At 35.8% G+C, this 15,580-nt stretch overlaps 1 protein-coding gene across 3 annotated transcripts in view; it reads left to right on the top strand.

Annotated features, from left to right (window-relative positions):
- Window positions 1-15,580, top strand: part of PLPPR5 (phospholipid phosphatase related 5) — a 115,542-nt gene that overhangs the window by 88,127 nt on the left and 11,835 nt on the right. For 2 of the 3 annotated variants that reach the window (XM_011540838.4, NM_001037317.2), the window contains one exon: window positions 2,740-2,874. In XM_011540838.4, coding sequence (XP_011539140.1) covers window positions 2,740-2,874 — 135 coding nt within the window. The remainder of the gene's footprint in view (window positions 1-2,739; window positions 2,875-15,580) is intronic. The other variant, NM_001010861.3, reaches the window with a different exon arrangement.

Raw genomic sequence — 15,580 nt, 5'->3', positions numbered from 1 at the left:
AGCTGAGACGAGATATCATGGCTGAGTTAGGTATGGCATCCAAAGACAGTGGAGGTGAGGAGTATCTAAACAGCAGGAAGTGAAAGGTAACAGAAAGTGTTTTGAAAACAGAGAAGGAAGGCTGCAAAAGTGGGGCTGGGCCAGAGTTTACACATTAAGAAAAACGGAAAGCCAAGCCATGAATGGCTTTAAGGGGGTAACATAATCCAGTTTGCATTTGGAAAGATCATTCTCACATTATGGTGGAAATAGAGGGGCCAAGATTAGATTTAGAGAGATAGTTTAGAAAGCTGTGTAGGAATCCAGGCAACAGGTGGTAGTTGCTTCGTTTTTGGAGTTGGTGGAGGAGATAAAATGAAGCAAATATAAGAAATCAAGATATTTAGGTACCAAGATATTTGGAAAGTAACATTGAGCAGATTCAGTAACTGGTCAAGTATAAGAGGTGTAAAGGATTAATTCAAGTTTTTAGCCTTGTGAATCTGCACTGGGGCGGAGGTGGGTGTTGGGGAGTGGGGTGGCATGTTGCCTTTCCTTGAACGTGTCCAGAGAAGAGATCAAGTTTGGAGTGGGTGCTGGAGGGGGCAGATCTTGAGTTTAGTTTTGAGTAGTTGTTGAATTGTCATACCTTTGCCAGCCAAAGAAATGACGTTAACTTAGTGATCTATTGCAACCTCTTCGTTTTCTAATTGATAAAACTGAGACTCGGAGAACTGTCTGATAATGTATAGACTCAGGCATGTTCAGGATCAAAAACCATGTCCCTCACTTTTTCTTATCACCATTTTTACAAACAAGACCTCTGTTCCACATCGTAAATGTTAGCAGACAAGACTTATTAAATATTGGAATATAACTCTACAGAGGATTAGGTAATTTCTTTCCTAATAATTAAAATACTAAGAGTAAGAAGAATAATCATCGTTGTTATTGTTGGCCAAAATTCTTGATTATATCCTTTGTATTTTAGAGCAGTGGTCAGTCAGCCAACTGCAGCCCACAGACCAAATTTGATCTGCTGCCTATCTTTGTAAAGAAAGTTATATTTGAATACTGACACTCCCATTTGTTTATAAACTGTCCGTGGCTATTTTTGCACCAAAAAGGTGGAGTTGAATAGTTGCTGCAAAGGTTGTAAGGCTGCAAAGCCAAAAATATTTACTGTCTTCCTTTTACAGACAAAATTTGCTTACCTTATCTCTAGAACAGTCAGTATCTGTCAGACCTTTGTGGGGTCATGAAGCTGGTAACATCATGAGGTAGTAGCTTTATCAAGTATCCATCTCCAAGCCCTTACTGTCCCTTACTTTAAAGATCTTTAAAGTGGCAACTACAAAGTTGAGGTATCAAATTATCAGGCTTTGATCTATATCTCTAATCTGTAGTTCTTCTGGGAAGTGGAAGGATAAGAAATCTATAATAATTTGCAAAGGAGTATTTTTCTGACGTAAAATCTCAGTAGGTGTTCTTATTTTGTAGATTTGTAAATTTTATTTAAAAACTGGAAAGCAACCAAGATCTAATTGATCTAATTGGCCTTTGAAGATATTCAGTAATGAACTCTATGAAAGAAAAGGCTTTTCAGTGTAGCATTTGTGAAAATATGAAATGTAAATGTATAATTATATATTAGGTACTTTACAAAATGAATGTTAGGTTATAGCTGCAAATGAGGCCTGTATTTTGATTTGTAATAGAATATGAAACACAGAAAATAAAACTCAAGAATACCTTTACCAAGAATACCTTGTTTATTGTGTAAGCAAACAGTAGCAAATAATCTTCCTGGTATGTTTAATTCATTATTTCTTAAATATGATTCACCTGCATTAGAAGCTTCTCGAATGCATTTTTGAAGTGCCAACTCCTAGGCCCCATTCTTCATTTACTAAATCAGAATCTTTAGGGGAGGGCTTAGGAATATGTATTTTTAACAATGCCAAAAATGTATTTTTATGCACATTAAGGATGAGAACCTCTGGTTTAGTTCAAATTCTGTCACCAGTGAGATATAATCCATTGAAACAAGGGTCAATTTTCTTTTCTTTTTTTTTAGAACATCAGGCTTTTTATTTTTATTTTTTATTTTTAAAATTTTATTATTATTGTACTTTAAGTTTTAGGGTACATGTGCACAACGTGCAGGTTACATATGTATACATGTTTTATGCGGAGGGTTTTCTATTTCAGTGGTAGCCCCAGTAAGCTATTGTTGGATTGCCAAGTGTATATGGGACACAATAATAGACGATAAGCTAGGTTAATTAAGGGATGCTGCTAAGTTAGAGAGTACCAATTGTAGAAGGTTTATTATGAATATAATGATACTGAAGCAATGAAAAACAATTAGCATTTAAATTAAGTTGTAGAATAGCCATATTAGGAAAAGGTTAGCTTGCTATGAATTTTTATAAGGTTATGGTGTTATGATTGATTTGAGCATTGACTATACTTCGATGTAATGAAAATTTTCGAATAATAAAATTGTCATAATTAAGTGAGCTACATATTAACCGATGAGTTTTCTTAAACATATCTGCATTGGAGTAGCTATTAAAATTTATACAATAAACTTTACAATAAATGAATACAATAAATCTGGATATAAATTCATATACGTGTAACATTTAAGTAATTTTAATACTTTCTTACATGCTTAGCTTTATTAAGCTCCTCAAAAGGCTGAAAGTCACAGTGAGCACAGTTTGCTTTAACTGTAATTGTCTTCTGAAATTTTAGGTTGTGTGCGTGGTGAATAATTTCAAAGGGAGACAAGCAGAAAATGAGCATATACACATGGATAATCTGGCACAGATGCCAATGATCAGCATTCCTCGAGTAGAAAGTCCTTTGGAAAAGGTAACATCTGTACAGGTGACTCACAATTTAAATTCTAAATTATAATAACTAGAGCAAATGAATCATTATTCCTGTATGTATATCTGGAGCATGTCCACACAGTTTATGTTGATTTACTTAGTGTAATGTGATATTTAGCAAGAATTTAGCCACTAAAGAGATAATCATAGAAAAATATATATCACATTTAAAAAATCTGTTTGTAGGCCGGTCACAATGGCTTACACCTGGCCTGTAATCAATCCCAGCTCTTTGGGAGGCCAAGGCAGGCAGATCACTTGAAACCAGGAGTTCAAGACCAGCCTGGCCAACATGGAGAAACCTCATCTTTACCAAAAAAATACAAAAATTAGCTGGACGTGGTGGCATGCACCTGTAGTCCCAGCTACTTGGGAGGCTGAGGCACCAGAATCACTTGAACCTGGAGGAAAAGGTTGCAATGAGCCAAGATCATGCCACTGCAGTCCAGCTTACGCAACAGAGTGAGACTCCGTATCAAAAAATAAAATATCTGTTTGTCTTCCTCATGCTAAAAGCTGAGGAGTACCTGTGTGTGAAATCCATTTAGTACTTTGCTGTAGTTTCTAAATAAGGAACATTGTGTACTGGTCTCACACATAGGAAAAATAAAATAGTTTTACTTGAGGATATATGCATTTTTTACAAAATATATTCCACATCTTCCATGCTCCATTTATATGAGAAAGTACTCAGCACAATGCCTGGCACACATTCACAGTTCAATAAATATTTGTTGAATCTCAGTGCACAAAGGTCTGATATCAGGAAAACACCAGTCGTGCTCTCCTAATCAGGGAGATTCTGAGACTCCATTGGGCTGAATGCAGCCAGAGGGTAGCACTTGGACTGGTAGGCCAAGGCCTCATTAGGCATGGCAGTGAGCACAGAAACCAGGTAAATACTTTTCTTGAGACTTTTGTGAACCACATAGGATAATATTTCCTAAATGCTGGTGCAGTTATGTGCATTTGTAACTAGTTAAATGGTTGCTCTGAGGGCTACTACTGGCTTCTCTTCGGTCCTGTTCAGTTCCACATTTGGTCAATATCTTAGCTGAGGAGTCAGTTACACACTAATCAGGTGTTCTGATTGTGTAAATCTGTGAGAGATAATTAACATATTCAATGAAGGAATAAAAATTCTTCAGTGACTGCAATAAGATACAATTCATAATTAACTAGAAATAAAGGAAACATTTTGTATTTGGATTTTTTAAAAACTTCACGTGTAAAGTAGGGTACATCCAGGTTAATTGCACAAATGAAAAAGGCTTGGGGTGTAATAGGCACCAAGTCAACACGTGTCAACAGCATGATAAGGCTGCCAAAAGAGTTAAATGATCTTAAGGCCCACTTGGGGAAAATGATACCCTGAATGAGGGGATTGATGGTGTGCATTGCTAGGCTCTGGTCAGACCAACTCTGAATATTATGTACTGATCTTGACAACACAGTTTTAAAGTGGGCATTGATAAAATAGTTGATACTCAATAAATATTTGTTAAATGAGTGAATTAATGTTTTTGGGATGTACTCAACATCATGGATTATGAGGGACTGTTGCAGGAACAAAAACGTGCTTAAAGAAAACTCATGAAAGAAGCAATAGCTTCCCATAAGAATCTGAAGGGCTCTTGTATGACAGAGGGATGAGATTTGTTCTGGAGGGTGTCTGAGATAACAGTTAGGACAAAACAAAGAAAAGTGAGTGTAAGAAGATAAATAATGGCTAGAAAGAAGAAAAAACTCTGAAAATGAAATGGCTGCCATAAGAGAGATAAAATTTCCTTTTACTATAGGAATTCCAGAATAGCTAAATAATTACTTGTCCATGGTACTTTGGAGAGAATTCAAGCATTCAGGTAAGGATAGAAGTACTTAATAATAATAATATACTAACACTAATAATGACTACCATTTAATGATCATCAGTATGTGTCAAGTCCTGTGCTGATGGTTTATATAAATTCCACAAAATACTTCTGTGCTCTACAAATACAATTTCAGTCCTCACAGCAATTTTTAAACATGATCCTCATTATAATGGTAAAAACTGCTAATATTTAGTATTCCTTCTCACCTTCTTCCTTTTAGTAATTGAATTCCCTAATTTTAGCTATATTCATGACTGCCCAGCTACAATCTATATTTCCCAGCTTCCCTTGCAGTTAGGTGTAACCATGAGACCAAGTTTAGACAAATGGAATGTCAGCAGAAGGGATAAGTTCAACCTCTGATTTATCTCTTTGAAGACTCTTGCCCTGGACATTCCCTACCCCTTCTCACCAAATGAAAAAGGTAATGACTGGAGCAACCTTGGAAATCACTTTGTAAGATGACCAATCTATCCTGTAGTCTGGGTCCCTGGATGAGCTTACGGAGCAGATTTCACCCAGCCTAGATGGTTCTGAGAAAGAAGTGAACTACTTTCTCCTCTAAGCCATTGAATTGTTCTAATTTCTTTTCTATAGTGACTTAGCTAATATCCTATTATAATGCATATTCCCATTTTACAGTTAAGAAAACTGAACTTCCAAATGGTTAAGAAATTTGCAAAAGTCCAGATCATTGATAAGCAGCTGAGAAAAATTATACAATGTAATGTTTTGAGACACATACCTATGTAAGAAAATACATTTAAAAGCTGAATGATCTGTACAAAATTAGGTCTTGTTTAACTTACTAAATAAAGTTTAAAAATAGTAGAATTTAGCCCAGGGATAGTGGTTCATGCTTGTAATCCCAGCGCTTTGGGAGGCTAAGGTGGAAGGATCGCTTGAGGTCAGGATTTCGAGACCACCCTGGGCTGTAACAATAGTGAGACTCCATTTCTACAAAAAATACAAAATAAAAATTAGCCAGGTGCGGTGGCATGTGCCTGTAGTACTAGAGACTCAGGAGGCTGAGATAGGAGGATTGCTTGAGCCCAGGAGTTCAAGGCTGCAGTGCACTATGATCACACCACTGTACTCCAGCCTGGGCAACAGATGGAGAACCCATCCCTGACCCCATCTCTAAAAAAAAAAAGGGTTGTGAAATATAGGAAGAGATCTTAGACATATTTTGAATAATATGGTCAGGGTAACTATTACAACCTTTTCATTTTGTATACCTCTGAAATTAACTTCAATAATAATCACTGCCATCTACTTTTTAACATTTATTTGCATGAGTGTTTTTTGGTAGCTTTCTAGTATTGCCAAATATTCATATATATCATTACATCATTGTATCTATTAAATTATTTAAAAGGTTCTTGTTGATGTTATGCTAGTTCATTTTTATTTATAGTGAGCTTTGAAATATTAGACAGTAAAAGCAAAAAAATTCTATTCATCTATAAATTGTTACAGATGAGTATTCATTAATATATGTATTCATGTACATATTAGGTTAAGTGGCATGTTTCTTTTATTAATTTTTAGGTTCATAACAAATTTATGTGCTCTGTTTTCACTCCGGTAGCTAGGAAATAAAAATGGTTTGAATCTGATTTGGTTTCCCCCTTACTCACTATAGTGCATTGGCACCACACCCTGCTGAGCTCCAGCTTTACTCTCCCATCTTTTTATTCCTGTTCCCAGGCAGAATGCTGTCTGCACAGTGCAAGTTCTGTCCCCTGCACTCACACAGAGCATGGGATGACCACAAGGCCAGGTGCTGAGAATACATCTCAGGCTTGCCTTTGTAACTGTGCTGCTGAGAGGACATGTATTTGTGTTCATCAGGCAGAAAGGGAGGAAGGCTACCACTTAAGGAAAGCCTACAATAGCTTTCTCTTTGTGTGTGTGATAAGGAGCATTTGGGATAAATACACAGCAGGTCTTTGAATTACATCGTTTCATTCAATATCATTTCTTTCTAACACCGATGAGAAAAAAAAAAAAAAAAACACTCTCTGGCTAGGGCTGCTGTCTGTGTGGAGTTTGCACATTCTCCCCATATCTGCATGGCTTTTCTACCCTGTTTTCCTCCCACCTCCCTAAGATGTACCTATTAGGTGAAGTGGCATGTTTAAATGGTCCCAGTGTGGGTGAGTGTGATGTGCGCGTGTTAGTGCACCTGCTGTGGGATGGCATCCTGTCCGGGGCTGGTTACTGCCTTGTGCCCTGAGTGGCTATGCTAGGATCTGGCCATCTGCTACCCTGAACTGAAATAATTGGGCAGATAATTATCATGCTTGTTTTTATTAATCTTTCTTAAATGTATGTATAATCACATTTATTCCAATGTTTTATACTAGAAACATTTTGGTCTTTATTTAGAAGTTTGGTGATGTCTTTATGACCAGAAATATGCCATAGAAACTTAATTCCTGTTTATATCAATTAGCCTGTGGTCAAATTGGTTTCATTATACTTCATTCTACTTAAACTTCATTTCCAAGAGGCCTGTCAACATCACTGAGTACTCACCTTATTGGATTCATTATGGCTCATACTAGTAAACAAGTAAATGCAAAATTCTTCCCAGTACTTTGATCTTAATAACTGATAGTTGGAGAGTGACATTAGACGTTAAAGCTGGCCCTCTGAAAAAAGTAAGGGAGTCTGGTGTGAAAGTTTGGTCTGCAAGTATGGCCAAGAGTTAGCATTATTATGCCAAGCTGTCATTTTCTGGTTGTCACTTTTGTATGGAGAAGGCAAAGGGTTTCGTTTAGAAGTTATGTACTTATATAACCTTTTATGTTCAAAGTACATGTTTGATAAACTGTAAGCTGCAGTGTAATTATAGTATAGCATACAAGTATTCGTTATTTTTATGCCAGCAATTTATCCCTTAATTATAGGAGTTTTTCATATAGTTAATTACCATAGTTTATGAGGAAAAGTCCTGATTTTTCTGGAAGACAAGTATATCTATCTGAACATTCATTACATTTGGTTTGTGAAAAGAATTAATCATCTGTGGAAACTGGCCCGTTGCATCCCAACGTCCACTAAATATTCAGGTTACTAGTAACTTTTTTATGACTGCTTGTCATATTAAAATATATAAGCTAAAATATATATGAGCAGTGAATTATTAAATCAATGGGATCCAGTGCATTGTAGTGTAGTGCTTCTGCTCGTAGGTTCTGGATGCAAACTAGCTGAGAATTTTGGATAATTTTGACCTTAGGCAACTCACTTAAATGCTTGGTGATTTGGTTTTCTCTTTCATAAACTGATCATCATATGAGTTCAATAAGTTAATGGTAAAAGCACTTAAACTGTGTCTGGTACCAGTGAAACCCTTAATAATCATAACTATAATTATTATTTAACAGCTAAGATGGATGAGGTAAATCAAAACATGGAAAGTTTTCCAATATATATCAGAAAGTTTTTTTAAAAAAGACTTTATATGTATATTAAATGTATATATAATAAAATCAATTATGCGAAATACCATCTATTTTTCTTTAGTAGTATAGAAAGGAACATGTGGATGAGAGAAACAAAGAAAAGAAAAGAATAAAGAACAGAAAGAAGGAAGGGAAGGGAGGGGAGGCGGGGAAGGGAGGGGAAGGGAGGGAGGGGGAAGGGAGGGGAAGGGAGGGAAAGGGAAGGGAAGGGAGGGGAGGGGGAAACAGACACCAGTCAGAGCAATGCTTAAACTTAAGGAGGCAACTGAGGTTAGTGGACCATGACCTTATCCACATTCCTGACCCTTCCTTCCTCCCTCTGTCCCTCCTTCCCTTCCTTCCTTTCTTCTTTCCTTTCTTCCTTCCTTCTTTTCCTTCTTTCTACAATGAAATACTATATTATTCCTGAATAATTTTATGACTGAAAATCATTATCTTTTAAAAATTTTTTCAATTATTTAAGCTGCTCTCTAAGGAGGTTCCAGTGCTTCCTCATTGGATTGACTGCTGATATGTTCAGATTGACAAAAGGCCCTCAGAAAAACTCCCCCAGGGTAATTTAAAACCCTGTACTTCCTTAGGGCTCACACAACCTTTCTGAAAGTGTTTGGTTTTTCTGTGCCAAATTGTGCATGGAAATCTTGGCGATAGCTCTCACACCTTCATGCCCAGGGTTCAGCTTCCTGTGGCACCTGCAGCCATCCCCATTTTAGGTACCATTAGCCCTGGGGCCTTTCATATGAGCTGTGTGCAGGTGCTTGTCATTTACAGGATCCACAAACCCCCCATCCACCCAAGGACCCAGGGATCCAAATCTCCTCATGGGTCACACCATCCCTTTCTCTCAAATTCATGCTTTTCTGGCTCTAGTCTTCAATGGCCCACATATCTCAAATAAAGCACTGGTGTTGCTGGCTTCAGGATATCTCCAAGACACAAAAACTATATTAATTATCCTTAGGAGTCCAAGAAACAAATTTCTGACTCTTTCTAGGAAATAGAGATGGAGACGTTTACATTTCATTACTTTTACACTCCTATATTATCAAAAATAATGTAGGAATTAATATCTTTATAGCTGTGTCACCAAGAGTGAAAACTACAGTAAATTTTTTTTGGCATTTTGACTAGATATGGTATAAATAAATCCAGTTTTAGGAAATCCCACAAAGGACAATTCCATTTTTCCTTTGCTCCTAAAGAACTACAGTGCTGTACAGGTAGCTAAAATTCTGTGCAGCCTCAATAATGTCCCAAAATTCCAGAGTGAGAATGGCAGCTAGGAGCAATCTCTAACAGAATAAGGAGTCCGTTTCATTTACAGAACGTCTCAACACCTTGGATCAACACCATTTTGAGACAGAGTTAGCAAATAAGCAACTACCCAAAGAAAGCTCTCAGACAAGAAGCTGTCCTTGGATTAGGCTTCTCACTATTAGGGGTTCATGCCAGATGAAGGAAACCTTTTGTGAACTGGATAGGTACCCCACACCTGGATGGGAAGTTACCTTTGGCCAAAACCAAAAGCTGCCTCCAAGGATTGCACATACTCCTGGAATAGAAGTTAGACTGAACTAATCAGTAGTCTTCCTGGTTTCAACAAACAACAAAAAATTGTATAGAAACAAAGTGACCTTCCTGAAAATGCTCATGGTCTTAGCTTCTCACAATCCATTCAGACTGATGACATAAAACTACATCCTCCAGCTCTTCTGCTCAGGATCTAAGTGGAGGATTCCCTAGCAATTCATGGTTATCATTAAGAGATAACTGATGAATCTTTTCCCATTCATTTTAGGAAAATCAACTGAGCTAAATCTGTCCTATTTCAAGCATGAATAATCAGGACAAGAACTTAAATCCTTTAAAATGACACAGAATAGAGAGAAAGAGATATTTTAATAGAGCATTAAGAAAAAGAAAAAGATTACAAGAAATTTGGCTGGGTGCGGTGGCTCACACTTGTAATCCCAGCACTTTGGGAGGCCAAGGCAGGTGGATCACCTGAGGTCAGGAGTTCGAGGGCCGACATGACAAAACCCCGCCTCTACTAAAAATACAAAAATCAGCTGGGCATGGTGGCATGTGCCTGTAGTCCCAGCTACTTGGGAAGCTGAAGCAGGAGAATCGCTTGAACCTGGGGGGCAGAGGTTGCAGCAAGCCAAGATCGTGGCACTGCACTCCAGCCTGGACAACAGAGTGAGACTTCATCAGAAAAAAAAAAAAAAAAGGATTACAATAAATACAATTAAATTTATTTTAGATAGCATCTTCTTTCCACAGTCAAGGAAATTAAAGAAAACATATGAAATGAATGTCAGATGAAAGATAGCTGACACATCAGAAATGTAATATAAGAAAACAAATAATGCCGTGGTGGGATTAAAACTGTACTAGAAACCATAAAGAACAAAGTCCACACTGGAAAATGTTGACGGTTATATTACTGACAGGTTTTATAATAAAAAATGAGAATTAAATTGATATCTGAGAAAAGATCATAGATATGGAGGACATACCACAGAAACCTAACATATGAATCATTGTATCTGAAGAAGATGATAAATGGGGCAATAGCAATATTCAGAAATATACTTTAAAGGAAATTTTCTTCCAAATAAATACCTGAATCTTTAAGATGGAAGGGTTAAACAGATACAAAACAACTATTGAAATATATATATTGGAATTAGATGTTTCTCAGTGAAATTTTTGAATTTCAGTACTGGAGAAAGAACCCTATAAATTCCGTGATAGGTAGTAGTATTGTTCCCAGTTGTTAGCTATTTCCTTCCTTAGGCAGAGTGTTCTTCCTACTCCAGTTACTTTGGACTTGGTCAAGAACATGTGAATAGACCTGATATAAATTTCATTAATCAGAAACATGTAGAGCTGTCACGAGTTTCTGCCGGTATTCTTGCTTCTGCCTTCTTGCAGGAAAAGATCATTTTCCAGACAAGTACTGCTGCCTCAGCCTGGGCTGTAAAATGGAAAGACAGGAGAAGCCAACCTGCCCCCAACCTGTGGCCTAGAGCAGATCCATAGAACCTGGCCAACAACATGTAGTATGAGGATGAAATAAATATTATTGTTGGAAGCCACTGAGCCTTTTGGGTTGTTATACAGTATATATATACATATATATGTATATATATAGTACTAGGTAATACTATATACCTAGTATATATACACACACACACTGTGTATATACACACACTGTATATATACACACACACTATATATATATATACACACACACTATATATATATACACACACTGTGTATATACTAGGTATATAGTATTACACACACTGTATATATACATACACTGTATATATACTAGGTATATAGCATTACCTAGTGAAAACTAACACAACCACAATGACAGAAAGAGTTGTTTACCTACCCAAGGCTGATAGCATGCTGGTCTCAGACTTGTGTCTGCATAACATTGGATGCAAGCTCTATCCTACTCTATCTATTCTAGATGGAGTAATGTCTTCAGAATTTTCAAGGAATTAGTTTGTGACATAATCCTATTTCCACCCAAAAGGTCATTTAAGTATTAAAATAACCATAAAATATCAGCTATGCAAGAATTTAGGAATTAAACTAATCACAAAAAAAGTACAGAAAATGTTTAGCAATTAACTGAGTAATATACCAGTAACTAGAGATCAAATTAGGATATGAATGAATTGGCAGAAAGAATAGAAACCATTTAAATATAAAACTTAATTAGATTTAACTGTGGTAAAATAAAGTAACAGAAACTGTACAAAACTATAAAATTTAAGTAGAAGATATATAAGAAAAGAAAATTATCTAAGATGACAAAATGAGACAAATTCTAGATAATACCAGCAAAAATGTTAAAGTACAAGACTCTCCAGATTTCATAAAGGTGGGACTCATTATCACTGCTTCATTCTTAGCATTGCTAACTAGGAAAAATGTTCAAGCATTTTAAAAAATAAGTTACCAAGAGTAGTTTAAAATGATTTATAAAAGGCCAATTACAAAGTATAAAATGTAAACAACACACATGTCAAAAAGTTGATGTCTATAATATAGAAAACATCCTAATTGGTAAAGTTCATGAATAGACAAATCATTAGAGAGCAAATACAATTAGGAAATAAATACATGGAAAAGTGTTCTGTGTGACCTTGTATGAATGTTATGAAGGATCTTTTATGCAACATTAAGAAGTTGATTCTTATCCTGTAAGCAATTGAGTACCTTCCAAAAAGGACTTCCTTAAAGTCCTTCCATAAAGGGACTTTAAGAAAGTGAGTAGTTTAATTCCTAAATGGCTTGTTCAGAGAGGAGAATAAGAGAGCAGCATGGAAGAACAAAAGAATCGGAAAGGCTATCGTAAGAATCCAGTTGAATGCTGCAGATGATGCTTACTAAATCTTAGTAAAGCCCAGCATGTTATGCCATTTTGACTGATGAGATGTCATTTGGCAAAGTCTGCTGTTAGGTGCTGATTTAGAGGACTTATCTCACCTCATGATTTACAGTAGAAAAGGGCTCCCAGCCAGAGTGTCACTAAGAAAACCATCCCTCTCCCCTACCCATAGTATATGCTGATCCTTCATCTATGGCCTTTCCCTGTTCTTTCTTCACGGATACCTCTCCTTTGTAATTAACAGATAAGGTGTGCATTGGCAGTCCTTCCAGATGATCCTCATAGGTCAGACTGCAGTCACCCCAACAGCAAAGCACTGAGCTCTGTCGTCCTTCTCTCTCTCCTGCCTGTGCTTATTCTCACTCCAAGGGCCAGTGCTGGGTCTATGAGACTGGCATAGGTCAGCACATGGAGATAATATATGAATTATCCATTTTAACTGATGCCATATAGAAAATATAGAGAAAAAGGCTTTATCTGGTAAAAGAACAAAAATATTTAAAAATAAATATAAGGATGAATAGGATTTGATAGAAAATGGGATATTTCCAGTAGATCTAAGGGAAATTAATATCCATATAGTTTTATTAAGGCAGGTACAGCAGGCCACAATAACCACTCCTGGCTAATTTGAAAATGCTTTTTGAGGAAATGATTTTTTCCATCTAAACCCAGGCATTATTTTTTCTTAGGTTGATGTGCTCCTAATCAATTGAACCAAAGGGAATTCTCTCTTGCCAAAAAAAAAAAAAAAAAAAGGGAAAGTAATGATAGGAATAGTTTACAAGATTCAGTTTTATACTTAGGATAAGGGGCTTTTCACCAACCTATACTACCCAATGAAGCTCATCATGTAAAAGCACACCCCTTTTAACAGAAACATCAGCTGAGTGAAAGTGATAAGAAGTGACGATAGCTCCAAAATCTAGAAATATTATAATGAGGATGTACTATTACAGATGAAAATTACCATGTTTAATTCCCATGGCAACTGCCAAAAAAATTATATGGATAGGAATGTTCTGAAAGAGCTCATGGTGACCCAAGGAATTGAACTTTACATTGATTGACTCTTTTGTAGATTTTATAAGATTACAGTGGTCATGGTGAAATGTGAACTGGAATGTAGTCAGAGTGATGGGTGGACAGAGAGCTTGGATTTTGCAGCTAGGTTTGAAGCCTGGTTCAGCTGCATAATAATGAAGTGGAGTTAGACAAATCACTTCTCTCCTTATCTGAAGAATTGATACAATGATGGTTTCCCTGTAGGATAATTGTTGGAATTAACACATCACAGATAAACTTCTCGGCACATAGTAGGTGCTTCACACAAGTTAGTTCCCTCCCGCAACAATCATTTCTTTAATGGGATTTTTTTTTTTAATTTCACACTAGGATACTCCCATACAAAGACTTCATGGATTTAAAAGTTTATACAGATATTGTCTATTTCATACATCGCACAAATGCAGGAAATACTGTAGTATAAAATGTTGCATATATTAGTGTCATAGCAATAGCAAAACAATCCTGTGGTTTCTTGCCAAGACAAATATGATTATACATTACTGTGTTCCCTGTGATAAATTCCTTTGAGGTTTCAGAATGCTGTGCGTGAGTAACTCTGGCAATCTATTTAAGATTCAGTTGATTTTCTATAATGCAAATCTTTGTTTTACAGAGCTGCTGAACTGTAATATAAATGTTATATAGGACCTTGTCAAAACAATCTTATTAGTGATTAGATATTGGAATAGTTAGTGGAACTAAATATGTTCATATTTAGGCATTTTTCTTAATCTAGGCTTTGAGCATTTATTAAAAATATTTGAAGTAAGTCAATATTTACATGCTATACTGTGTTCTCATTTGTAAAATTTAATTTTGTTTAAAAAAAGGAAATTGAAAGTGGAAGCTTAAAAATTTCCAACAGGCATCAACATTTTAGGTTGAAAATACTGGCACATTCTGTTATTATTTTGCCATATGTCATTTTCCTATTTGTACTCCAGTATACTCAGAATCAATTTTTCCACACTATTTATGAATTATTACATACTACATGAAAAATAAAAGACAGCTTTTCCCTTCAGTTATCTAACAGGCCTTTTATAAAAGCATCTTTCATTAAATTACTTTGGAATATAGACTAGAAGCTTTCTCATCTGATTTATGTGAATAAATATAGAATTGATGACTGTATCTTTAAATTATATGATTCATTCAGTCATTAGTTAAGGAGAGAATAATCAATGATAGATTTAAAAATCATTTCCAGTGCACACATAATTAGTTACACATGGATGGGAACCTGATCCCAGCCGTTCATCTCCCTCTTTTTTCAGGTCTATTTCCTTATTGGAGACCATCCTGGAGACACTATGGAGGGCCTTCAAAATCAATCAGAGGATCGCAGTTCTGTGAAAACATTTTGTTGAAAAAATATTAAATTTTATTTGACTAAAACTAGGTAAATAAGCAATGACTCAATTCACAGTTTTATGAAACAAGCAGTTTATTTTTCATAGTTTTGATTAAAGAAGAAATCAGTAAATAATTTGCATATATTTATGATCTGAAAATCTGAATAAGCAAAACAAAAAACGAATAGGAAGTATCTATGGGGTCATCACAATAATCACAGGAAACATTCTTAAAATAACCTTCAAGACCCAATGAACGTGTGTATGAGTTTGTGTTGAACACAGAATTTCCCTGTATATTTTATTGCCTTTATTCACATAACAATGCATCATAGATATGATTTCAGATCCATAAATATAACAGTCATATCAGGCATACTATTAAAAGCTAATCTTCAATTATAGCTTAATATGTGCTTGGAATTATGCAGAGAACTTCACATATAAAATATGTGAAGTCATTTGAGTGTGTCTTATTTCCATTTTAAGGAGAAAGGGACATAGGTTAAGTAATACA

The sequence above is a fragment of the Homo sapiens genome, chromosome 1 (genome assembly GCF_000001405.40).
Source record: "Homo sapiens chromosome 1, GRCh38.p14 Primary Assembly".
Taxonomy (NCBI): Eukaryota; Metazoa; Chordata; class Mammalia; order Primates; family Hominidae; genus Homo; species Homo sapiens.
Note: the sequence above shows the minus strand (reverse complement) of the source record. Positions and strands in the feature narration are given on the sequence as shown.